At 43.7% G+C, this 26,948-nt stretch overlaps 1 protein-coding gene and 1 long non-coding RNA gene across 3 annotated transcripts in view, besides 1 other annotated feature; one reads left to right on the forward strand and one right to left on the reverse strand.

The window, feature by feature from the left end:
• The window catches only part of PPEF2 (protein phosphatase with EF-hand domain 2), a 42,586-nt gene extending 17,269 nt beyond the window's left edge, over positions 1-25,317 (reverse strand). The window contains exons 1-10 of one of the 2 annotated variants that reach the window (NM_006239.3): positions 25,095-25,317; positions 19,136-19,248; positions 14,716-14,843; positions 14,513-14,570; positions 12,822-12,997; positions 11,079-11,193; positions 9,717-9,763; positions 7,459-7,625; positions 6,031-6,067; positions 5,791-5,940 (exon numbers count right to left, since the gene is read on the reverse strand). In NM_006239.3, the coding sequence (NP_006230.2) occupies positions 5,791-5,940; positions 6,031-6,067; positions 7,459-7,625; positions 9,717-9,763; positions 11,079-11,193; positions 12,822-12,997; positions 14,513-14,570; positions 14,716-14,843; positions 19,136-19,190 (933 nt within the window). In that variant the 5' untranslated portion in view covers positions 19,191-19,248; positions 25,095-25,317. Of the gene's footprint in view, positions 1-5,790; positions 5,941-6,030; positions 6,068-7,458; positions 7,626-9,716; positions 9,764-11,078; positions 11,194-12,821; positions 12,998-14,512; positions 14,571-14,715; positions 14,844-19,135; positions 24,029-25,094 lie in introns of those variants that run through there. The other variant, XM_011532039.3, reaches the window with a different exon arrangement.
• On the forward strand, positions 1,242-11,329 carry LOC105377285 (uncharacterized). Its single transcript, XR_938895.3, has 2 exons — positions 1,242-1,640; positions 11,108-11,329. It is a non-coding gene; the product is annotated as an uncharacterized LOC105377285 (long non-coding RNA).
• Positions 8,841-9,135: a silencer, noted in NCBI's record as "tiled region #11706; HepG2 Repressive DNase matched - State 22:ReprW, and K562 Repressive DNase unmatched - State 22:ReprW". NCBI's record gives its function as "represses a minimal TATA promoter and a strong SV40 promoter by Sharpr-MPRA in HepG2 and K562 cells {active_cell/tissue: HepG2 | K562}" and the evidence as "EXISTENCE:reporter gene assay evidence [ECO:0000049][PMID:27701403]".
• Positions 25,318-26,948: the final 1,631 nt, after the last annotated feature.

Raw genomic sequence — 26,948 nt, forward strand, 5'->3', positions numbered from 1 at the left:
GAGACCAGCCTGACCAACATGGAGAAACCCCATCTCTCCTAAAAATACAAAATTAGCTGGACGTGGTGGTGCATGCCTGTAATCCCAGCTACTTGGGAGGCTGAGGCAGGGGAATTGCTTGAACCCGGGAGGCGGAGGTTGCGGTGAGCCAAGATTGCACCATTGCACTCCAGCCTGGGCAACAAGAGTGAAACTCCATCTCAAAAAAAAAATAAACAATAAAAAAGAGAGAGAGAAAGAAAGAGAGAAAGAAAGAAGAGGAAGAAAAAGAAAGAAAGAGAGAGAAAGGAAGGAAAGAAGGGAAGGAAGGAAGGAAGGAACTGTAGGTCCTTTGAGAGTACCACTTTGACACCCAGGTCAGTCCTAAACACTGGTGCCCACAGACAAGTGCTGGTCGGTTCACTGTTCCTGGCCTGGGACAAGGTAAGTACAGCCCTTGAGAGTAAGTCTGAGAAACATTGACAGCAATATGACATTGTCATGACAGTCAAGCACATGATCAGTGGGCTTGTATCTTTTGTTTGTATTTCCTTTCTCTTTTTTTTTTTTAACTTTTATTTTAGGTTTGGGGGTATATGCGAAGGTTTTTTACATAGGTACACACATGTCACAGGGGGTTGTTTTACATATTATTTCATCATTTTTCTAATAATTCATATTTATTGTATTTTACGAAAGTATTGATCTGCAACAAATTGGAAGTTTATAAAACCTGGTCCTTCACATATAATTTCGAGAAACACTAACCTAGTTCATCGTTTCTGTCTGGGAGACCAGTGACTTTTTTAGACAAGGATAGGAAAGGGCAACTCTGTCTCAGGCCAGTCCTCATTGACTTTCCTGTCATTCCACAGATGCTAAAACAAAGAAAAAGAATCAAAGTATATAGGTGAGAAATAGGAAGAGGAAAAACTTGACTCTTGCTGCAGAGGAGGCAGCACTTAATGGTACTTTAGAGGAAGTGCTCTTGTACCCATTATCTTACCTGTTGGGGAAGGACAGGGGAGGGGAGGGAGCTCCTCTTTTCAGCCTGGACCTAATCAGAAAGACACTCCTTGCCACAGGGAATTGAATAGAGTCCCTCTCACTTGCGGTCATCATGGCACTGGGACTGGGCTGAGGACATAAGTGGCACGAATTCTGATCAGGGGTCAGGCCACAGAGCAGATTGTAGCAGCGAGCAAAAAGAGAGAGCAGCCATTCCTGCTGTGCCTCAGTGCTATGGTGAACCCCGAGGGGGAAGACTTCCATGGTATATCCACAATAAAGGGCTTGTTCACAAAAGGAACTCTGTGTGAGCACATAATCAAAGAACGAGAACTTTCTGCAAATAGATCTAAGGACTGTGATACAAGAAAGCCACGTCCCAGCTTGGACTGGCTTAGGGCAAGAACAAAGAAGGACACCCAGAGAGGGGCAGCAGAGCTGACTGATGTTTGAAGGACAGTCCAGAGTGAAGAGAATAGAACAGAGCTTATTATCTGACATTGGACAAGCGTTAATCACTTTCTAGGCAGTTCCAATCTTGGGCATAGAGAGTGCAAAGCCACAAAATGTAAACCAACTCATAACAACCTTCTTGCTCCTTGTTGGCACACAGTGAGGGCCAGTCCACCAGTCCCACCTCTTCCGATTCTCAGGTATTTTATTATTATATTTTTTTAGATGGAGTCTCGCTCTGTCACCAGGCTGGAGTGCAGTGGTGCGATCTCAGCTCACCAAAACCTCTGCTTTATATTCCCAAGCAATTCATATCGACTCAAACTCGTGTTCTTAATTCAAAAGAAAATCTCTGCAAATAAGCAGACCCTCCTTGTTAGAAGATGGTTTATTTAATGGTACTGGAGAAAGCCCTGATGACTAGCAAATGATTCCTCCCATTCACACACATTCCTCTCCTGGTAAGAAGTCCTATTAATGACTGTTTTCCCCATCTTATGTTTCCAGTGATTTTTAACATCCACTGTAGACTGATGTCCCACACCTTAACCTAGTGGAGGGAGGCTCCAGTACACGAGGGATTGTAACTGGCACTGCTAGGGTCACCTGCAGCCTGCAGATAGGTCTTGCTTGCCTTGCAATGTTCATAAAATTTTTAAAATGGTATTTTGACATTTGAAATTTGGAGGATTTTATATTAAGGTCTAGATTTTGCTTTAAAAGTCTCCTGAAAAATCTTCTAATACTAGCTTATAAGTGAGTAGCTGCTTCCTACTTTAACATGGGCAAAATCTGTCCAGTTCTCATCTAGGTTTGCAACCCGGCATTGTTCTGTCCCATCTTTGCTTCAACAAAAATGTAGCTCATTTACTATTTATAATAATCAGGCAGAAAAAATATTGTGCCTTCTGCTTTCAATACTATCTCTGCAATAAGGAGAAATTAACATTTATCCTTATCTTACATATGGAAAACTTAGTAATTGTAGAGTTTTTTTGTCAGATTCTTCTGGGTATTTTCTTTCTTATAATAAAAATTAGAAGCACTGGTAAGGAACAATCAGAACTGATATTCTTTTTCTATCTTTGTTAGGAGACTTACATGGCCAATTGGATGACTTAATATTTATATTTTATAAGGTATGAATGTTCAAATTAAGTTGCTTTCTTGCTCTGAGGCTTAATTTAGAAGCTCAAATTCAGTATCAATTGAACAAATGCTTAAATATTACTTGAATTTTTAAAATGTTATTATTTACTTTTATTTTTTTTTTGAGATAGGGGTCTCACTCTCACTTAGGCTGGAGTGCAGTGGTGCGATCTCGGCTTGCTCAACCTCTGCCTCCCAGATTCAAGCAATTCTCCTGCCTCAGCCTCCCGAGTAGCTGGGAGTATAGGCGCGCGTCACCACATCCAGCTAATTTTTGTACTTTTAGTAGAGACGGGGGTTTCACCATGTTGGCCAGGATTGTCTCCATCTCTTGACCTCGTGATCCGCCCGCCTCGGCCTCCCAAAATGCTGGGATTACAGGCGTGAGCCACTGTGCCTGGCCCAGGTAATTTTATTTTAAGGATGTTGTTATCTGCTCCAAGCAGCATCCCTAACTTGAGGAGATTAATAGTGTTAATATGTATTGAGCCTTTTCCAAATAGGCGCTGTTCTGGGCATTTTCTATAAATTAGTTGATTAACCACCATACCACTCCTATAAGATAGCATCTTTTATAGTACAGATAAGAAAACTGAGGCACAAAATACTAAGACTCTTCCAGGACTGAATCCAGATAGTCTGACTCTGGAGCCCATACCTCTCTGTACTTCTCTCTCAAGTAGTCCTTGGACTGTATCATTTGCTGCATCACCCTCTCTCCAGAGCTTTGCAAACCAAACATTGGGAAGTTAGTTTTTTGCTAAGCCACAGAAAATAAACTTTTCGTTAGCATTCTTTCCCAGAGTTCCTTCTTCTATGTTTACATAATTAAATATGATTCTTCCCATGAGATAATTTGCTCTACTGTGGCTTGCTGTCTCTGCCTCCAGACATACATGCAGCTGGACAGAATGTTTGAGTTGAAAGTTTGTGAGAAAATCAAGATACAACTGATGGCTAGGTGTGGTCACTTATGCCTACAATCCCAACACTTTGGGAGGCCAAAGTGGGAGAATTACTTGAGCCCAGGAATTCAAGACCAGCCTGGGCAACATAGTGAGACCCCATCCCTATAAATACTTTTTTTTTTTTTTGAGACAGAGTCTCACTCTGTCGCCAGGCTGGAGTGCAGTGGCACAATCTTGGCTCACTGCAGTCTCTGTCTCCTGGGTTCAAGTGATTCTCCTACCTCAGCCTCCTGAGTAGCTGGGACTACAGGCGCACGCTGCCATGCCCGGCTAATTTTTTTGTATTTTTAGTAGAGACGGGGTTTCACCATGTTGGCCAGGATGGTCTTGATCTCCTGACCTCGTGATCCACCCATCTCAGCCTCCCAAAGTGCTGGGATTACAGGCATGAGCCACCGCATCCAGCATAATTTTTTTTTTTTTTTGACATGGAGTCTCGCTGTGTGGCTCAGGCTGGAGTGCAGTGGCACGATCTCAGCTCACCAAAACCTCTGCCTCCCGGGTTCAAGCGATTCTCCTGCCTCAGCCTCCTGAGTAGCTGGGATTACAGATGTGCACCACCACACCTGGCTAATTTTTGTATTTTTAGTAGAGAAAGGGTTTCACCATGTTGGTCAGGCTGGTCTCGAACTCCTTACCTCATGATCCGCTGGCCTCCGACTCTCAGAGTGCTGGGATTACAGGTGTGAGCCATCACACCCGGCCCTCTACAAATAATTTTTTAAAAATTAGCCAAGCATGATTGTGTGTGACTGTAGTCCCAGCTACTCGGGAGGCTGAGGCTGGAGGATTGCCTCAGCCCAGGAGGTCAAGGCTGCAGTGAGCCGTGATCGTGGTACCACACTCCAGTCTGGATGACAGAGTGAGACCTTGTCTCAAAAACAAACAAACAAAAAAAGATATAACAGATGTGTAAGTGAAAACACTGAGTTTGGGTGTACAGGGACACAGCAATTTCTAGTTACCAAACCACAAGGAGTCATATCCTTACTTGCTAAATGGTAGCTAAGTCTAGAAACCACACATTAGGGGTGGCAGAGTAACAAGAAACCTGGGTCTCTGGACAACTTCATAGAACCAAACTGCCATTTCAGCCAACAATTGCCTATTCCAGGGTTCAAACCCAGGTCTGTCTCACTCTAAAGCCGTATTCTTTCATTTCATGTATGTCTCATATACATAGACTTTCATATCCATATCCATTAGAATTGCCCAAAGCTGAAGTAGACTGATTGTTCCCTGTCTTTGGAACTTCCCAGGAAAATGTTGTCATGGATGTTGTAGCAGCATTTCCTGTGTGGGATGAGTCAAGTTTAAGAGTTAAGTGTAAGAAAATAGAAACTTTGCTTCCTAGCTTTCCATTTCCAAAATGAAATGGAAAATAGAAATCTATTGTTATTGGTAAATCATACATTCTGTCTCATACTCTTCCACCTCCAACCCCAACACATTCTGGTTATTTTGTGTTCCTTTAGGGCAGGCACCATCTCTGTTTCATCTTTTTATCTCTGTAACACTTTCTTTGCACATAGTAAGCACTCAAAGCACATTTGTTGAGTTTAACTGAAATTGATCTTCATCTTTTTTTTCTGCCAACTAGCACGCTCTCTGGATGTAGTAGTAGGCACTAAATACATATTTCTTGACTTTAATTGAAGGTAATATGAATTATTTGGGAAACGTAGGCTCTTTAGGTGGCAATAATTGAGAGGTAGTATTTAGAATTATCTAGATCCAATGGCAGATAACACGGCACTGGTTGCTACTCCCCACTGGCATGTACATGGTAGACATGACTAAGTGACTACAGCACACTTGCCCCCTAGCCCAACTGCAGGTTCTCAATCTTTTTTTTTTTTTTAGAAACAGGTTCTCACTGTGTCCCTGCAAGATGGAGTGCAATGGCAATCAGAGCTCACTGCAGCCTCCCAAGTAGATAAGACTACAGGCCCATGCCACCACTCCCAGCTAAGTTTTTAATTTTTTTATAGAGACAAAGTTTTGCTATGTTGCCCAGACTGGTCTCAAACTCCTGGTCTCAAGCAATCTTCCTGTCTTCTAAAGTGCTGAGTTTATAGGTGTGAGACACTGTGCCCAGCCTCCATACTCTTAATGGCCTCCACACTCTTAACAGCCATAATCAGTTGACTGCAGTCAGCATGTAAGATGACATTTATATTGGCAATGAAACTGGGCATTATGGTGAAATTTGTATTATTTCATTAACCACTACCTTGCTCCTCTCTATTTTGTCCAAAAGCTCCAGATCAGTTATGTCTGACACCCCACCATGAAGAATTAGAACTTTCTCATCTATCAGAGTGGCCAGTGGAAGCCAACAGAAAACATCTTGCAGGGTTCTTAGTATTTCCTTCCCGTGTACCTGGAAAAAATGATATAAACAAAATGTTATCAAATAATTCACTCAACTTATCTGAACTGAGAGAAACTTTTGTCTTTAAAGGCAGCGCACCTTGTATTTATTCATCACTTCCTTGGTGAAGCCATATCTAGATTTAGAAGCACAAATAGATATTAGAGTAAACTGGGTGACAATAATCAGGGCATAATCACATTTTTAGAAGAATGCATATTCTGGGTATATGTACTTAAATACATAGAAAAGAGACTGAGGAATAATCACCAAAATGTTTAAAACTATGTCATTATCCCTGGGTAGAGAAATTATGGGATATTTTAATTTTCTTCCTTTTACTTATCTGTATTTCCTGCTTTACTATCATGAATCTCTATTATTTATATGATAGAGTATGTGTATGCAAAAACAAATTCAATGGTTTCATTGGAATAGTAAAATAATGTGTAAATTAAAAAAAAAATCTGGGCTGGGCATGGTGGCTCACGCCTGTAGTCCCAGCACTTTGGGAGGCTGAGATGGGCGGATCGCGAGGTCAGGAGATCGAGACCACCCTGACTAACACGGTGAAACCCCGTCTCTACTACAAATACAAAAAATTAGCCGAGTGTGGTGGCAGGCTCCTGTAGTCCCAGCTACTGAGGATGCTGAGGCAGGAGAATGGTGTGAACCCAGGAGGCAGAGCTTGCAGTGAGCCGAGATCGCACCACTGCACTCCAGCCTGGGTGACCAAGCGAGACTCCGTCACAAAAAAAAAAAAAAAAAAAAAAAAAATCTGGGCTGGACACGGTGGCTCATGCGTGTTATCCCAGCACTTCGGGAGGCTGGGACGGGTGTATCACCTGAGGTCAGAAGTTCGAGACCAGCCTGACCAACATGGTGAAACCCGTCTCTACTAAAAATACAAAAAAAAATTAGCCGGGCGTGGTGGCAGGTGCCTGTAATCCCAGCTACTTGGGAGGCAGAGGCAGGAGAATCGCTTGAAACTGGGAGGTGGAGGTTGCAGTGTGCCAAGATTGTGCCATTGCACAGCCTGGGCAACAAGAGTGAAACTCCATCTCAAAAAAAAGAAAATCTGGCTGTGTGCGGTGGCTCACGTCTGTAAATCCCAGCACTTTGGGAGGCCAAGGGGGTGCAGATCACTTGAGGTCAGGAGTTTGAGACCAGCCTGGCCAACATGGTGAAGCCCTGTCTCTAATAATACAAAAATTAGCTGGGCATGGTGGTGCGTGCCTGTAATCCTGGCTACTCGGGAAGCTGAGGCAGGAGAATCACTTAAACCCAGGAAGCAGAGGTTGCAGTGAGCCAAGATTGCACCTGCACTCTAGCCTAGGCGACCGAGTGAGACTCTCTCCAAAAAAAAAAAAAATTTTTTTTTGAATGTTATATACTGTGTATTCTGCTTTTTAAAAAAATTGGAAAACTAGTTTTAAAGGCATTTAACAAATAAGAAGTTCTGGAGAAATAACATTTTACAATTACAACAAACAAACATCAAATACTCAAGCATGTTTTGACTTGTACCGTAAGTTCACCATATGGTCCTCATGGTTTCCTCTGTTAAGATGGAACTCTTTGGGGTAAACCAGCATGAAGGCAAAAAGAATCATCAGGATCTCTACTGAATCCTTGCCTCGATCCACAAAGTCACCGTTGAACACATATGACCGTTCTGGCGACGGGAGGCCATTCTTTTCAACAAGGAGACCAGTGAAAGAATGAATGGGAGGAAGGAAATAGGAAATCAGGTTAAAACCAATAGGCATTTGACAATCACATCATGTCTAACACCAATTCTGTGCTTTCTAGGTCTCCTCCAAGCCTGAAATGTCAGTAAATGATGGAAGTATCTTCTATTGGTCTTATATTTCCTTTCCAGAGAGGCTAAGGTTAGGAGATGCTCCTTTAGACAAAGCCTGAGTGTTGCCATGTGGTGTGGAGCAAAGGGCACCAAACTTGTGATCCAAAGGCCAGTTTTAAGTCCTGGCCACACTATCTTTAACTAGAAATAATAATACTTGCCATAGATTTCTCAGGATTAAACAAGATAATGCATGGGAAAATGCTTTGGGAAATGTAGTATGTGTAGAAAGTAATATTCCATTAAAAAATATTATACTCATCTCCCTTGCTATATGTTCTACACATTATAACTAAAATATATATGAAAATAGCTTTTGGTTGTTTTGATAATAATCAGTTTTCTTTATGTGAAAGAAAGAAAATCAATTGCTAAATATTTATTTATTTATTTATGTTTTAAGAGACAGGGCCTCACTATGTTGCCCAGGCTGACCTCAAACTCCTGGCCTCAACGATCCTCCCACTTTAGCCTCCCAAATGCTGGGATTACAGGCATGAGCCACTGCACCTGGCCCCTTCTAGTTATTAACCAAACATTTTAAGTTTGTTAAATAGTTTGCAAAAATGTACTAGAATATAATGCAATGCTGACTTTTCTATTATTTATTTGCTGCAACAGAGTAGCAAATATTATTAAAAATAATATCTTAGGCTGGGCACAGTGGCTCACGCCTGTAATACCAACACTTTGGGAGCTGAGGTGAGTGGATCACTTGAGCTCAGGGGTTCAAGACCAGCCTGGCCAACATGGCCAAACCCCGTCTCTATAAAAAATATAAAAAATTAGTCCATCGTAGGCCAGGCGCGGTGGCTCACACCGGTAATCCCAGCACTTTGGGAGGCTGAGGCAGGTGGATCATGAGGTCAGGAGTTCGAGACCAGCCCGGCCAAGATGGTGAAACCCTGTCTCTACTAAAAATACAAAAATTAGCCGGGCGTGGTGGTGCACGCCTGTAGTCCCAGCTACTTGGGAGGCCGAGGCAGGAGAATCACTTGAACCTGGGACGCGGAGGTTGCAGTGAGCCGAGATCGTGCCATTGCATTCCAGCCTCGGCGAGAAGAGCGAAACTCTGTCTTAAAAAAAAAAAAATTAGGCCATTATGAGACAGGTTAGTTTTACCCTACTGATGATCTGTTGTTGCCATGGTAATCCTGCTCAGTACCAACCCGCAGGTTCAGACATTCGGTGTATGTGCTTGGCTAAGGAGCCAATGGGACAAAGCTACCCTCTGTGGGATTTTGACTGAATGCCTCTAAGTCAGAATCCCGCCCAGGCTGAACCACAGGGCAGCGCTGCAGGGCCTCAGTTGGCCTCGGATAGCCAGTCTCCCAATGGCCTGGGATAGCCAGTCTCCTGCCATCCCCGCCGGCCCGCAGTTCGGCTCAGCAAGCGCGCAGGTACCCGAGGCCGGTGCGGAGAGTCCCTCCTCCTGGGAAACCGGGTGCGGCCGGAAAGGCGGCCGCCCCTCACCCGTCATGCAACGGCACGTTCGTGGGGAACCTGACATTAAACTGTTCGTAGATGACCTGCTTCTGGGTCAGGATTTCGCACTGAGCAGAGCAGCTCCCTCGCTGTGATCTACTGAAAGTCAGCCCTCGACACAAGGGTTTGAAAAAGAAAAAGTGAAAAAAATAAAGAAATTAGGGCATGTTGGCATGCACTAGTGGTCCCAGCTACTCGGGAGGCTGAGGTGGGAGGATTGCTTGAACCTGGGAGGCAGAGGTTGCAGTGAGCCTAGATCGCACCACTGCACTCCAGCCTAGGTGGCAGATTGAGACCCCCATCTCAAAAAAATAAAAATAAATAATAATATTTTAAAACTTCAAGTAATATTTAAGCATTTGTTCAATTGATACTGAATTTGAGCTTCTAAATTAAGCTTCAGAGCAAGAAAGCAACTTAATTTGAACATTCATACCTTATAAAATATAAAGATTAAGTCATCCAATTGGCCATGTAAGTCTCCTAACAAAGATAGAAAAAGAATATCAATTCTGATTGTTCCTTACCAGTGCTTCTGATTTTTATTATAAGAAAGAAAATACCCAGAAGAATCTGACAGAAAAAACCCTACAAAGTTTTCCATATGTAAGATAAGGATAAATATTAATTTCTCCTTATTGCAGAGATAGTATTGAAAGCAGAAGGCATAATATTTTTTCTGCCGGATTATTATAAATAGTAAATGAGCTACATTTTTATTGAAGCAAAGATGCGATAGAATAGTGCAAGGTTGCAAACCTAGATGAGAACTGGAGAGATTTTGCCCACGTTAAACTAGAAAGCAGCTACTCACTTATGAGCCAGTGTTAAAAGATTTTTCAGGAGACTTTTAAAGCAAAATCTAGATCATAATATAAAATCCTCCAAATTTCCAATGTTGAAATACCATTTTTAAAAGTTTATGGGCCGGGCGGGTGGCTCACGCCTGTAATCCCAGCACTTTGGGAGGCTGAGACGGGCGGATCACGAGGTCAGGAGATAAAGACCATCCCGCCTAACACGGTGAAACCCCATCTCTACTAAAAATACAAAAAATTAGCCGGGCGTGGTGGCGGGCGCCTGTAGTCCCAGCTACTCGGGAGGCTGAGGCAGGAGAATCGTGTGAACCCGGGAGGCGGAGCTTGCAGTGAGCCGAGATTGCACCACTGCCCTCCAGCCTGGGCGACAGAGCGGGACTGTGTCTCAAAAAAAAAAAAAAAAAAAACTTTATGAACATTGCAAGGCAGGCAAGACCATCTGCAGGCTGCAGGTGACCCTAGCAGGGCCAGTTACAATCCCTCCTGCACTGGAGCCTCCACTAGGTTAAGGTGTGGGATGTCTGTCTACAGTGGATGTTAAAAATCACTGGAAACATAAGATGGGGAAAACAGTCATTAACAGGACTTCTTTCCAGGAGAGGAATGTGTGTGGATGGGAGGAATAATTTGCTAGTCATCGGGGCTTTCTCAAGTACCATTAAATAAACCATCTTCTAACAAGGAGGGTCTGGTTATTTGCAGAGATTTTGTTTTGAATGAAGAACATGAGTTTGAGTCAGTAGGAATTGCTTGGGAAAATAAAGCAGAGGCTGGGCCCTGAGGTCCATGATCCCCTTCGCTGCACCACCACCTCTTTTTTAGGTAAATGTGGAGTGAATATGCAAATTGTGGACCTGAAGGGGTTAAATTTGGCTTATCATCACATCTCCCTGCAGCCCGCCACTCCTCTTGCATCCCCACACAGGTAGAGCATTCTTCTTTGTGTGCAGCATGGAAAGCCGTTTCTGACCAGCTCTTACCACACACTGTGATCTCCTCACTGTAACAGGTTGAGACCCGGTTGATGTTTGGCAGCTGTACCAGATGTTTCTTGGTTTCATACAAAAGGTTCAAGACGTAGCGAGCATGGAGCTGCTACTGGGAGGAAGAGGAGGGAAGGAAGAAAACAACACTGATATTCGTGAGGGAAAATGGTCCTTACCTTTACTGCTTAACAACCCCCATCACCTAAGACCCCAAAAGTAACCCCAGTAAACTGCTCCTGGGACTATGCACGGATTCTTTCTTTATCACTCAACTTCTGCCCTTGTTTCTGCTTCTCATCATTCCCACTTGCCCCCCCTGCAAATATTGAGCTACTTTTCTCTTTCCTTTCTACTCTATTAAATGCTTCCTTGCCTTTAGCATGGGAAGACCATGTGATTGTTTCAGTAAAGTATGACTAAGTGCAGGTGTGTTGATGGTACTTAGTGATCCTGTCATTACTGGAATATATCAGCTCAGCTCCTCCTGCAATGAGTTACATTCATGTGGAAGAGGGGAAGGATTGAATTCTGATATAGAGCCAGAAGCTGACTATCTCGCTACCTCTACCCTACCATCAGAGTTCCAAGCCACTGTCATCTTTCGCTTGGACGATTGCAGTAGTCTCTTGACTGGTCACCCTACTTTGGCCCTTGCCGCCTACACTGTCTTAACACAGCAACCAGAATGATTATTTTAAAAAACAAGTCAGGGCTGGGTATGATGGCTCACGCCTGTAATCCCAGCACTTTGGGAGGCTGAGGTAGGCAGATCATGAGGTCAGGAGATCGAGACCATCCTGGCTAACATGGTGAAACTCCATCTCTACTAAAAATATAAAAAAATTAGCCGGGTGTGGTGGCGGGTGCCTGCAGTGGCAGTTACTCAGGAGGGTGAGGCAGGAGAGTCGCTTGAACCCAGGAAGCGGATGTTGCAGTGAGCCGAGATCGCGCCACTGTACTCCAGCCTGGATGACAGAGCGAGACTCTGTCTCAAAAAAACAAAACAAAAAAACAAGTCAGATTATGTCATTCCTATGTCTGCTGTCTCCCTGTCTCTTTTGGAAGAATAAAAGTCCACCCCCTCACCTCCATTACTCTTCCCCTGGCTCCCTCTTCTCCAGCCACAGTGGCCTCCCGAGGTTCGTGAACAGTCCAGGCAAGTTTCTGCTTCAGGGCTTTTCCATGTGTTCCTCCCTCTACCTGGAACGCTCTTTCTCCGGCGCATTCCTCACCACCTTAGATCTTTGCTCAGAAATCACCTTCCCAGACAACTCTATAAAATTGCTATTTCTTCCATCCATAACTTAGTTTATTCTTTTCCATAGCTCTCATCGCCTTCTAATATACTGCATAATTGTCTTATTTATTGTTATTTATTGTTCATTGTCTGCCTCCCCGATGGAATGCCAGCCCCATAAGGGCAGAGATTTTATCTGTTTTGTTCACTGCTGTATCCTCAGTGCCCAGAGCAATGTGGGGCACACAGCAGTGCTCAGTAGTTATGTGTGGGATGAATGAACAATGAGAGATTATGTGATTAGGAAGAAAAGCTGTCAATCATCAGAACTGGCTGATTGACTGCAAGGTCCTGGCTAAGCACAGCAGGGGTAGAATCTCTCTAGTGGACACATGACATGAACACCCTAAATCTGGGGCCATTCTTTCTGTGCTGGGTTTCGTCTCCCTTCACACATTTCATGGAGTTGGTAGTGACCCAGGTTCCCCAGGTGAGCTTACTTGTTTCAGTCTGAATGCTTCTACCAGGGCAGTTGCATGGTCAGGCAGGAGTGGGAAGGAGAGGCGTGGCCCCGTGTAACTGTCGGGTACCTCTATGGATTCATAGTCACTGCATTTCTTCATCTCGGAGTCCTGGGCGAATCTGTCCTCAGTGAATATGCGGGTCAGGAAGTCCCCTAGTCCAGATAGAAAAGGTGGATCAGCTTATGATCATCTGATCATGCAGTCTGTGGGCACTATAGAATAGTCCTTGGCTGGGCACGGTGGCTCTCTAATCCCAGAAATTTGCGGGGCCAAGGAGGGAGGATTGCTTGAGCCCAGGAGTTTGAGAACAGCCTAGGCAACATAGGGAAACCTTGCCTCTACAAAAAAAATTTAAAAATTTAGCCAGCCATGGTGTCACACACCTGTAGTTCCAGCTACTCAAGAGGCTGAGATGGGAGGATCACATAAGCCTGGGATGCAGAGGTTTCAATGAGCAGAGATGATACTACTGCACTCCAGCCTGAACGATAGAGTGAGACCCTGTCTCAAAAAAAAAAAAAAAAAGTCCTTCCCTGGACTATTGAAGCAGGACATGGTTAATCTGGCTTCAGCTTCAGCTCCAGCACAGAAGAGGAAAAAGGAAGGAGAAAGTGACAACAGTCTAGGATGGGCAGGAGGAAAAAGTCATGCTTTCTACTTTTATTCTAAAAGATCAAGATTTGTCAGACTTAGAGAGTACAGAAATTTAGGGACCTGGATTTGCAAGCAGAAGGAAAGGGGAAAGCCAGTGTGGAAAAATCACAGGTATTTATGTTGCATTTAGTGAGCGCAACAGGTGCATCAGACCTGGCAGTGCCTTCCAGCAGCTTCCAGCTGCCAGCATTGGCATCTCCAGACTGAGGACTTATTTCCTGGATCCGGATGGCAGGCCAGAAATGCTATGGAATTAACAACCTCCTGGCTTGGCTCAGTGGTTCACGCTTGTAATGCCAGCACTTTGGGAGGCCGAGGCAGGTGGATCGCTTGAGGCCAGGAGTTCAAGACCAGCCTGGTTAACATGGTGAAAGCCCATCTCTACTAAACATATAAAAAATCAGCCAGGTGTGTTGGTGCACACCTGTAATCCCAGCTACTTGGGTATCTGAGGTTCAATCACTTGAACCCGGGAGGTAGAGGTTGCAGTGAGCCAAGATCATGCCACTGCACTCCAGCCTGGGTCACAGAACGAGACTCTGTCTCAAAAAAAAAAAAGAAAAGAAAAGAAAAGAAAAAGCCTCCTTCCTATACTTCTCTCCCACCTCCCCAGCCGCTTTCAACCAATGACTCCTGGAGTTGACACAGAAAAACTCCAGTTCCCTTTGCCTGCAGGGGGTATAATTCTGAGGCTTGCGTTTTGCACTGTTTCCTAGGCACACTGAGTTGCTGGACTGGCTGCGATTCCTTTCCTGAATCCCTTCCCCACTCCCTCCCACCCCCAGGGTTTCTTGAACTTAATAAATGAATTCCTTGCGTCCAAACTCTTGTCTCCAGGTGTGTGTTCAGGAGAACCTGGCATAAAACCCCAGTCTGCCATTTACTCCTCAGCCCCTTGCTTATTCCCTGGCTGTCACCAGATTCACGGTTTCACTCCCTGTGCATCCCCCACCTCACCGTGTAATCTATGGCCTTGCGACAGGAGGACATGACATGTGGCAGTTCATACTCACTGTCGTTGTGGCTGCTGGGGATGAAGTGATCCATGAGATAGCTGAAGAAGTCATGGAGCTGCAGAAGAACCCAAGGAGACGTGGCTTTAGAGGTGAGCGAAAAGAGAACCCACAAGTAGTCCAGTTGGCCTCACTTTAGGAGCACCCGAGCCCTGCTGCCCAAGGGAGAGCAGGAGGCGGCTCCGTCCCACATCTCATTGTACCTTGACTTGGTCTTGCTGCCCAGCATATTCTATAGACTGGAAGATGCTCCAGGTGCAACGCCGCCTCATCTCCAGGCGGGCCACGTAGCGCCGGTACCATCTCTGGATCAGGGCTGCTGCCTTGAAGGCTATGACACCGATGGAGAAGCAAGCCTGTGAGCTCGGACTCCCTGGGCCAGGGGTTTGGGGGTAGGGAGAGGAAGCTGCTCAGCCCTCTCCCACTGTATATGTGAGGACAAGATGGAGCAGAAGCACTACCCATTGACGCCCATAGGAAGTATTTCCCTTTCTGCTGGCAATAGTGCTTTTCCCCATTTCCTGCCCCTCCCCTTCATTCCTGCCTGATGGTTATACTCATATCACTGTAGGTTGATTAGAATTCCCATGTATTGATGAAAACATTTCTGTATAGGGATGAAAAGGTTGGACTGCCAGGATTCCGAGAAGGAGATGTAAACTCATGAGATTGCAAGGATGCAGCATCCCTGACAGGTTATAATGCGGGGGTGGGGTGGACATTTTGATATTGTGACAATAGACTGGATGTCAGGACACCTGGGATCTAGACCTAGAACTGCCCTGACAAGCTCTGTGGTTTCAGACAAGTCATCTGGGGCCTCAATGTCCTCATCTGGAAAAGGGGCGGGGCCAGATGAAGACTAGGAAAAGCAAACAATAAACGAATACTCAAATGAATGCATCATACGATGTCAGGGGGTAGCAACTGTGTCCCAGCTCCCATGCTTGCCATCCCCAGTTCCATGATATCCCTACAGGCTTTAAGCACCCCCGTCATAAGATAGACAGCACTGACCATGCAGTCCCCCACATGGCCACTGGGCCTCTCATTTTTGCCAGGACCTGTGCTAGGTGACCAGGTAGGGCAGGTTAGGGTGTGGAGTTTCATTCTTTATATAAGGTTTAGGACCTGTGTGGTCAAGTATTGTTGCCAGAGAAGGGAACAGCTGTCCACATAACTAGATTCTTTTTAAGCTCCAAGGCTTAGATACACTGCTGGTGATGAATGGACTATTTGTGGATAAAGCTGGATTAGAAATCCTGCAGGCTGGATTAGAAATCCTGCAGGCTGACTCAGGTCAACCTCATAAAGAGTAGACAGATTGATTTAATATGTTTCGTTTGCATTAGACAGATAATAGAATTCTTGCTGATTTCCCTAAGAGGAAAGATGATGGTGACATGGGAAAAGAGAAGCTGGGAGGAACTTAAACAAAGATAAATTTGATTTCCTATGAAAAAAATTCATACTACTAGTATTTCTCAAAGGCACTCACTAAATAGTAAGCGATGAGGTTGAACCCCACTGACTGACTTCTGTAAAACCATGTTCAGAATAGTGAATGAGGCTGGGCGTGGTGGCTCACACCTATAATCCTAACACTTTGGGAGGCTGAGGCTGGTGGATCACCTGAGGTGAGGAGTTCAAGACCAGCCTGGCCAATATGGTGAAACCTCATCTCTACTAAAAATACAAAAATTAGCTGGGCATGGTGGCAGGCATCTGTAATCCCAGCTACTTGGGAGCCTGAGGTAGGAGAATCATTTGAACCTGGGAGGCAGAGGTTGCAGTGAGCCGAGATCGTACCACTGCACTTTAGCCTGGGCTAGAGACTCTGACACACACACACACACACACACTCACACACAAAAGAGAATAGTGAATGAAAGGTCCAGGGCTGGTGCTACAGATTCTTTAGAGATTCCTGGTAAACATGCAGGTTGCTACACCTCACCCTGGACCTGTAACATCAGAATCTCTACCGCTGGAATCCAGGAAGGAATCTGAAGGTTTAACAAGCTCCATACATAATTCATACTTGTGCTAAAGTTTAAGGACCACTGAAGAAGATCATGGACATCAATGTTGTCTGCTAACACCTTGCCCTGAGCATTCTATGGCCAGTGCTGCCAATGATGAGACATACGTATTACATCCTCAGTCTTGCTTTGGCTACTCAGGCAGCAGAAGTGGGCAACACCTTTCATTCTCCCTCTTTTTTTCTTCCTCCCGGTTGACTATCTGGTAGGGTGTGGTGGGGAGCTGGCTTGCTTTCAATTGAGATGGGCTCTGGGAAGTGCAGGATCTTTTAATATCCTTTATCCCATCATGTATTTTTAATAGCACAATGCAAAAATGTATAGGCCCCTCTTACTTGGGCCATGTGTAAACTAAATTATTAGGGTACAAGTTACAAATACACCTGGGCTGTAAAAACTCTACATATAACAACACTGTGAGAAAATTGTGAACCAAGGCAATGCACAGTAGGGTATGGGAGAATAGGTAAATTATTTAAGAAAGATAGAACAGAGAATTTTTTTGATGGTTACCCTCTTATTTTTATTATCTTTGTCAAGAATATTTATGTCTCTATATACAACACTGATTTAAAGGAAAAAAATGATGCCTCTAGGAAGAAGTACCTTTCTGTAATGGAAGTATAAGCTTGCCAAAAGGTGCAATAAAAACTTAATGAATTATGACATCCCTTTAAGGAAAATAGAGAGCCTAATATCGACTTCCAATAAGAAATGGCATGCTTAAGCAGATGTAGGACTCCCTCACACTCCAACACATTAAGAAAAGCTGCATAAAATAAGCTAAATTTCTTTTTAACCAATAGTTGAAATCAAAAGCATTGAAGGGAGATCTCCGGGTGCCAGAAATGAAGACGGAACCCATAGCCAAAGGCAGTTAGAGGCACTGAAGTCAGGCAGGCCCCAGGGGAATCTCAACCAGACACATGTCTCAGGAGCTGGGGTTTAACACCTGTATGGGGATGAGAGTGAGTTCCTGGGTTCTGTGCATGGCAGGGAGTGGTAACTGGACTGTCTGTGAAAAGGCAGGAGCTGGGGAAGTTTCTGTACCTTGCGTGATCTAATAAATCTCTGCCTACCGGCCCCTGTGGTAGCAGGAGCTGAGCTGACCTAGAACTCAGTGAGATAGAAAGTCTCAGCCTGTGGCGTGTGTGGGTTGAATTCGTGTTATTCACAAGATAAGGAAACCCTGAGCTGAAGCTAATTCCAAAATTGGTCCAAACAAGTGACAAACTGGGAAAAAATATTTGCAATTTATATCACAGTTGATATCCCTACCATATTAGAAATGATTTCACTCGGTCACCCAGGCTGGAGGGCAGTGGCATGATCATAGCTCACTGTAGGCTTGAACTCCTGTGCTCAAGCAATCCTCCCACCTCAGGCTCCTGAGTGTCTAGGACTACAGAGGTGCTCGCCACCACACCCAGCTAATTAATTTTTTTTTTTTTTTTTTTGCTGGGCATGGTGGCTCACTTCTGTAATCCCAGCACTTTGGGAGGCCGAGGCGGGCAGATCACCTGAGGTCAGGAGTTCGAGACCAGCCTGGTCAACATGGTGAAGCCCCGTCTCTACTAAAAATTCAAAAAATTAGCCGGGCATGGTGGCACCCGCCTGTAATCCCAGCTACTTGGGAGGCTGAGGCAGGAGAATCGCTTGAACCCAGGAGGCGGAGGTTGCAGTGAGCCGAGATTGTGCCATTGCAATCCAGCCTGGGCCACAGAGGGAAACTCGGTCTCAAAAACAAAAAAAAATTTTTTAGGTTGGGCACGGTGGCTCACGCCTGTAATCCCAGCACTTTGGGAAGCCGAGGCAGGCGGATCACCTGAAGTGAGAGTTCAAGACAAGCCTGGTCAACATGGTGAAACCCAGTGTCTACAAAAAACACAAAAATTAGCCAGGCGTGGTCGCGGGCGCCTGAAATCCCAGCTACTCGGGAGGCTGAGGCAGGAGAATCGCTTGAACCCAGGAAGAGGAGTTTGCAGTGAGTAGAGATCGTGCCACTGCACTCCAGCCTGGGCGACAGAGCAAGACTCCGCCTCAAAAAAAAAAAATTTTTTTTTTGTAGAGATAGGATCCTTGATCTGTCGTCCAGGCTGGTTTCAAACTCCTGGGCCCAGGTGAGATTCTCTCATCTCAGCCTTCTAAAGTGCTGGGATTACAGGTGTGACCCACAACTCCTGGCCTATTGTTTTAAAAAAAAAATTGTTAGATTGGCCACTAGAGGGAGCTCATGCTTCCTTCTTCCCACCTCATGACCTTTGGACGTGCTCTACCCTCTGCCTGGAATGTGTTTCATCCCCTCTTTGCCCAACCTTATTTCATTCATTTGTACCTGGGTAGTTTGGGATCAACCCCAATGGACAACACTAACTTCCTGAGCGAATGTTAATTCTGTCAAATATACTTCAACTGGACATTTTGGTGGGCATGTCACAAGGAGGAGAAGCTGACCTCTAAGAGCTGGCCTGAGGAGAAATTTAAGGGTTTTTCTGCTTCTACCCTCAGAACCCCCAACCCTCTCCATGCAATATGGGCTTTGTGGTACCCACAGCTGGTTTGGAAAGTGGGAAACACGTACCTCTCTCTGCATTCTGGAAAGCAAAATGATGTTGGGTGGAGGTGCCGCTTCCCATAGTTTAAGCGCAATGCTCCTGCAGGACGCAGCAGATCCAGAGGACAGTGAGCTGTTTGCTGACAAAATGAAGAGAGAATCTGTAATAGGAGATGCAGGCAGAGTATTAAATCGGGTGGGCCAAATTGTCTATGAATCATGTGAGAGTATCCTCTCCACCTCTCCAGTCTAAGTGCACAAGATGTTCCTCCCCTGAGAGTTCCCTCCATTTGTCATTCCCTAGGTCTCCCGTTTTCAACCTTTCCACTGCCTTTTCCTTTCAGTCTAGAAACATACTGAAATCTCTTATTTTGCATTCTCAAAGCAATTCATCCGCCACCTCCTCCTCCCTTGACCTCCTATATTCCTCTAACTGTCACCCAACCTCTCTTGTCTTCTCATCCAGATTTATCTCAAGGGTAGACTACAGTTTTCTCTTTACTTCCTCTCAAAATCACCTTTTTCATCCTCACTATTGATCAAAGCCTTTCCTGATGCCTCTAATGTCTTCATCTTTTCAGTCCTTACCTTGCCAGAACAGCAAGGCCATCTGTCTCCATAGGCCACACCTTTCTTTCTTTCTTTCTTTCTTTTTTGAGACAGAGTCTTTCTCTGTCACCCAGGCTGGAGTAGTGCAGTGGCACAATCTTGGCTCCCTGCGAGCTCCGCCTCCTGGGTTCACGCCATTCTCACCCCCTCAGCCTCCCGGTTAATTTTGTTTTTGCATTTTTAGTAGAGACGGGGTTTCGCTGTGTTAGCCAGGATGGTCTCTATCTCCTGACCTTGTGATCCGCTTGCCTCGGCCTCCCAAAGTGCTGGGATTACAGGCGTGAGCCACTGCGCCTGGCCAGGCCACACCTTTATTTCAATTCTACACCTTGAGCTTCTGTGATACTAAACTCTTATGTTTACTCCCATCTTCCTGACTACTTACTGTCTCTGCTTCTTGAGCTCATTTTCCTCTGTCTGTCCCTTATATGTTGATTTTTATTTGCATTCTAGTCTCAAATATCTGTTGATCTCACGTGGTATATGCTCCCTGGCTGGTTTAATTAACTCTCACATTTTCAGCTATCACTTCCTACCTCTTAGATCTCTGTCTCCATCCCAGATGATCCCTAAACTTCAGCCCCACATATTCAGCTCCCTGCTAAACACTTTGATTGGGGTGTCTCAGACTCCAAACAGAACCCATCTTCCAGGCCATGTGCAGTGGCTCATGTCTGTAATCCCAGCACTTTGGGAGGCCAAGGTGGGCTGATCACTTGAGACCAGCCTGGCCAACATGGTGAAACCTCATCTCTCCTAAAAATACAAAAGAATTAGCTGGGTGTGGTGGTGCACACTTGTAATCCCAGCTACTTGGGAGGCTGAGGCAGGAGAATGGCTTGAACCTGGGAGGCAGAGGTTGCAGTGAGCCAAGATGTGTAACCACTGCACTCCAGCCTGGGCGACAGAGCAAGACTCTGCCTAAAACAACAACAACAACAACAAATCTTCCCCAAAAGCCTCGTCTGCCGAGACCAGCTCAGTCAGGGAGACCCTAACCCAGCGGTGCTAGAGGAATTAAAGACACACACACAGAAATATAGAGGTGCGAAGTGGGAAATCAGGTGTCTCACAGCCTTCAGAGCTGAGAGCCCTGAACAGAGATTTACCCACGTATTTATTACCAGCAAGCCAGTCATTAGCATTGTTTCTGTATATATTCGATTAACTAAAAGTATCCCTTATGGGAAACGAAGGGATGGGCCGAATTAAAGGAATAAGTTGGGCTAGTTAACTGCAGCAGGAGCATGTCCTTAAGGCACAGATCACTCATGCTATTGTTTGTGGCCTAAGAATGCCTTTAAGCGGTTTTCTGCCCTGGGCGGGCCAGATGTTCCCTGCCCTCATTCTGGAAAGCCCACCACCTTCCAGCATGGGCGTTATGGCCATGATGAACATGTCACAGTGCTGCAGAGATTTTGTTTATGGCCAGTTTTGGGGCCAGTTTACGGCCAGATTTTGGGGGGCTTGTTCCCAACATTCGTCTCTCTTCTCTCCTTTCTTCAAACTCTGTGCTTTAACTACCATGACCTCTGTGTTTCTGCTCTTACCTGGAATGTTCTTTCTATCCCACTTCTCTTAAGCTGGCTAACTTTATTCATTGCTAAAGGCTCACTTTAAGTATCACCTTCCTTAAAGAAGCCAGCTTGACCTGCTCCTCCTCTGAGCTCCTGAATATCCTGTTCACATTTCCATCACTGCAATACCATATTACAGTCTTTAATCTTGTATCTCTCTACTATTAGACTGTGAGTTCCTTCAGAGAAAGACTGTAAGCAAATTCATCATTTTATCCCCAGGATTTAGCACAGTGCCTGACATGTAGTAGGGATTCCATAAATATTAACTGAATAAACTTTATGCCTTATTTATTTTTTGCTGACACATAATAATTATACATATTTATGGGATACAATGTGATATTCTGATACATGTATACATTGTGTGATCAAAGCATAGTAATTGGCATATCCATCACCTTAAACATTTATTATTTCTTTGTTATGAGGACATTCAAAATTCTCTCTTCTAGCTATTTGAAATATACAATGCATTATTGTTAGATATAGTCATGGTACTGTACAATGGAGTGCCAGAACTTATTCCTTCTATCTAACTGTAACATTGTACCTGTTAATCAACTTTCCTCATCTCCTGCTTCCTTCTATTTTCCCCAGTCTCTAGTAATCATTACTCTATGCTCAACTTCCATGATCTCAACTTTTTTAGCTCCCACATATGAGTGAGATCACGCAGTATTTGTCTTTCTGTGCCTGGCTTATTTCACTTAACATAATGTCCTCCAGGTTCACCCATATTGTCACACAGAACAGGATTTCATCCTTTTTATGGCTGAATAGTATTCCACTGTACATATATACTACATTTTCTTCATCCATTCATCCACTGATGGGCATACAGGTTGATTCTATGTCTTGGCTATTGTGAATAATGTTACAATAAACATGAGTATGCAATTGTCTCTTCAAAATACTGATTTTGCTTCCTTTGGATATACACCCAAAGTGTAGTGGGATTGCTGGATCATTATGCCATATTTCTTTTTATACAACAAAGATGACACTTTCTCTAGTTCTTCTTCAGGAGGTAATGTGAGATGTACTGACTTAACATCAAGAGCGAATCCCACTTCTTTTACTCTTTTCTCTACCTCATTTCTACCCCACTCTCCTCCGCTATTTTTGAAGGTTGTGATACTGGGGATTATCAAAGAGTTGTTGTCTTTTTCTCTGAAAATCAAAATTAAAGTCTTACCTTGCTTATGTTGGCTAGTTTATTTTGAATAAACAACCAGAGGAAAAAAGACTGTGATCTCTTTTTGTGTGCAAAATGGTTCCTAGTTCTATGAGATGTCATGATACCAGAATCTGAGTTTGGGGTAAAGTGAGAAGCCATCATGTCCAAACCAACAAAACTGCTCCTAAATATTTGCACAGTTTTAGAACTAGAAGGGACTTCAGCAATGATTCTGCTTGTCAATGACTCACAAGTTGCTTTGATACATTGGTAACTTGCCTGCATAGCCAAGTTGTGTATTTAAGAGTGTTTGATGTGGGTGAGAATTTTTGTTCACCTTCTCACTCAATTTTGGGCACTTAAGCTCTCAGAGACTCAGTTTTCTCATCTATGTATCTTCAAGGATCATAAATGATATATTTAAAGTGCTTTCTATACAATAAAACCTCAATATATGTTGATGGACTGAATCTGATGTCATATTTATTTTAAAATATCAACAACCAAAAATATGTTCTTGGAGGCAGTAAAAGGCATACTATTTCAATGCTGCATGAATCAGCAGGATGGATACTGATTATTGCTGGGTCAAAGATTTTTATTAAATAAATCCTCTTTTGCCCTTAGGCAACTTTTTTTCTCATGAATTTATAAATTCAAAAATGGTGGCAGAATAAGATGACCTACAAAGAATTTATTGGAGATAGAAATATAGCATTGCCTAGAGTAAGGAAGTTGATATCTATCATGGGCCAATAAACTATTTAGAACAACCACAAGAGATGAAAGAAATGAAGTCTCCCATTAGGTAGTTGTAACTAACTCTTGGTGACCTTTTGTCACCAAGGACAAAAAGGATATGTTTTCCTATGTCATGTGGAAGGGGAAAAGGGGTACCTAGCTACCATTATAACAGCAAAGGCACATGTGATCCCTGCCTTGGGGCTCCCTGGTCTCATCTGTTTCTCTGTTATTTATGGATAATGGTAACGTCATTACAGGGTTGTTAGGAGTGTGAAGTGAGGTTATATATGAGGAGTACTTTGCAAATGTTTGTCATCGTCATGAAAAACATAGATAAGGAATTTTCTTAAATGACATCCTCAAAAATCTCTTAAAGTTCTTCTCCTCCTCAGATAAAAAGCACCTTAAATAATTATCAGTAAAGAATCAACAAAATACATCATGATGCTTTAAAAACAATGGAATGTATTCCACCATGACAAAGAACAAGGCAAGTCGATATGTAATCATATGAAAACGGCCCCAAGATATATTGTTACATGAAGAAAAGCAAATTCCAGAAGAGCACGCCTAGTGTGATATCATCTGTATAAAAAAAGTCAGTAAGTATATAAAAATGAAAGACTATACACCAAGCTATTAACAGTAATTACCTCTGGAGAAAGAGGTTGGGTGAGAGATTTCCATTTTTAACTTATATACTTCTATTACAGCTTTTGTAATTAAAAATCAATAAATGATATTTTTCTAAAATTTTTACACATAAGAAAAATTAGAAAGTGGCTCTGACTAAATAGGTATCCCATATGGCTGCTTAAGAGAAGAAGATGGAGTCATCTACGGACAAGCAGAGAACATTCTAGAAATCAATAAGAAAAATGGCTGGGTGCCGTGGCTCATGCCTGTAATCCCAGCACTTTGGGAGGCTGAGGCGGTTGGATCCCCTGAGCTCAGGAGTTCGAGACCAGCCTAGCCAAGATGGTGAAATCCTATCTCTACTAAAAATACAAAAATTAGCTGGGCATGGTGGCACATGCCTATAATACCAGCTACACTATTTGGGAGGCTGAGGCAGGAGAATCGCTTGAACCTGGGAGGTGGAAGTTGTAGTGAGCCAAGATTTCGCCACTACACTCCAGCCTGGGTGACAGAGCGAGACTCCACCTCAAAAAAAAAAAAAGGAAATGAACAGAAAGGGGAAGTAGAATAATTCTCAAGGGAAAAACTAAAAATGTGAAAACTTCATAAGGTCAGCCACAGAAAACGAGCTTGAGGGAGCCCGAGATTGTTGAATCAGCACCTTTGGTAATCACCAGCTGTCTTCTCCCCCTGATGATTTCCCAAGCTGAGCCATCTCTCCAGGTGATGAGTACATCCACCCAACGTGGGTGAGACCCCTTCTCCTTCTAGAATTTGACTTAGCATCATCAATGCCTCACATTATCATGAAAAACAAAAATTAGCTAGGGGTGGTAGTGCAGCATGCCTGTGGTTCCAGCTACTCAGGAGGCTGAAGTGAGAAGACTGCTTGAGCCCAGGAGTTCGAGGCTGTAGTGTGCTATGATTGCACTTATGAACAGCCACTGCACTCCAGTCTGGGCAACATAGTGAGACTCTGTCTCTTAGGTGGAAAAAAAAAGTGTTTATCTGTCCACTAAGTGAGCCCAAGAAATCCAGGGCAGAATGGTCACCCAGCACTTGAAGATCTCATCACACAGATAGCAAAGACCCCATCTGGATGAGTTGATAGATAACAGAGGAGCTGTCTTTGACCTTTGTCTCAAAACAACTCTGTATTTATTTCCTAGGTAAAAACATAAGTGTCGCCCTCCTGTTCTCACCCATTTCTACTTTAGGCTAGACAGAAAGTTCTTACCTTCTTTGCTGGGTTTTTTATTTACCATGAGACACAACAAGGCAGAAATCTCTTTAACATGCAGGCGTGATCCCCATCCTGTCTTCAGAGTTGGCTGAGGGATCCCAGGCTGATCTGATTTCTTTCAGACCTACAGAGCCCATAAAGAAGGTGCAGCCCTAGTCTGCCATGTCTTCTTCCTGAAAAGCAATGGTGACATTCACAGCCCTGGCCAAGTATTCACAGTGACAGGAAGGAAAGTTCAGGCTTCTTGCCTCGAAGGAGTAGGCACCCCCTGACGTCAGTCAGATCAGGCCCCCAAGGAAGATTTGAAGGGGGCGACTGCATAGTCGGGGTATCTCCCATATACCCAAGGAGATGGGTTTCTCTAACAGCACCCACGTCAGTCCTAAATCTTCTTACTCTCCTGGATTAGAAGACTGTGTTTCCCAGGCCACATCTGAGAAGCCTGAGCTCCTTAGCCCTGAAATAGCAGAGTGCTGACAAGACACAGGGGCCTAGGGGCTCTGGAGTCCAAGGGGAGTCCTCAGCAGAAGACACATAGGAGGCATTCTTTGTTGGGGCTGGCTTTTCTGTTTGCAAAGCCTGCTTGAAATATCCTGCCCTTTCTATGGACACTTTCCTTAGGATATAACCTAATCTGTGGTTAATCACTATTCTTGGACAACTTACTTTTTCAGTTAATCTAAGATGCTCGTGTGTGTGTTCTGGTAGGTACTAAATGCACCATGGAAATTCTCAAAGAAAGTGATATTCTGTTTGTCTATATCTAGTAGGTCAAGTTTGTTCATTATTATTATTATTATTATTATTATTTTGAGACAGTCTTGCTCTGTCGCCCAGACTGGAGTGCAGTGGCACAATCTCAGCTCACTGTAACCTCTGCCTCCTGGGTTCAGGCAATTCTCATGCCTCAGCATCCCGAGTAGCTGGGATTACAGGCACCCCCGCTGCCATGGCCAGCTAGTCTTTCTATTTTTAGTAGAGACAGGGTTTCTCCATGTTGGCCAGGCTGGTCTCCAACTCCTGGCCTCAAGTGATCTGCCCACCTCAGCCTCCCAAAGTGCTGGGATTACAGGTGTGAGCCTCCACACCCGGCCTAAATTTGTTAATTATATTAATTCAGATCCTCTTTATCTTTGTTTATTCTTCCTGATCTGACCATCTTTGAAAGAGGTATTTTGAAGATTTCTATGACAAGTACAGATTTAGCAAATTCTCCTTGTATTTGAGTCTTTGCATTACACGTTTTGAAGCTATATAATTAGATATTAAATTTAAACCATGTAAAATTGCCATCGGCAACTGTGTAATTACACATGAAGCCGTATTGTCATTTAACTGTCTTGGTAGAGGGTGACATAAAAATTAAATATCACTCTGCCTTTTAAAATTCTTTTTGCATTTGATTCTCTTTTGTCTGATATTAACATTTTCACATTAGCTTAGTTTTTGTTAGTGGCTGACTGCTAACATTCTTTCTCCAAGTTGACTAAAAGACTGATAAAATCCTGTATTACTGAGAGTATGAGAAAAAGGACCCTCTCCATATACTATTGCTGGGATCGTTAAAATGTTTCATTTTGGGGGAATTAAATTAAATTTTAATTGTAATTTATTAAATTACATACTTAAAATATGTAAATCCTTTAATCTAGAAATTATACTTCTAAGTATCTTACAGAATTATACACCCATGCAAAAATCTATATAAGGATTTTTATTACTGTATAATTTGTGATTAGGAAAAGTTGGAAAATAACCTAAGATATTTTTTTATGTGGTATTACCCATATTTTCTAGTTTCCATATTGATGCTTTGACATTTTGGGGCCTTGTTGACCAGGGAGAGAC

Source organism: Homo sapiens, chromosome 4, assembly GCF_000001405.40.
Source record: "Homo sapiens chromosome 4, GRCh38.p14 Primary Assembly".
Lineage (NCBI taxonomy): Eukaryota > Metazoa > Chordata > Mammalia > Primates > Hominidae > Homo > Homo sapiens.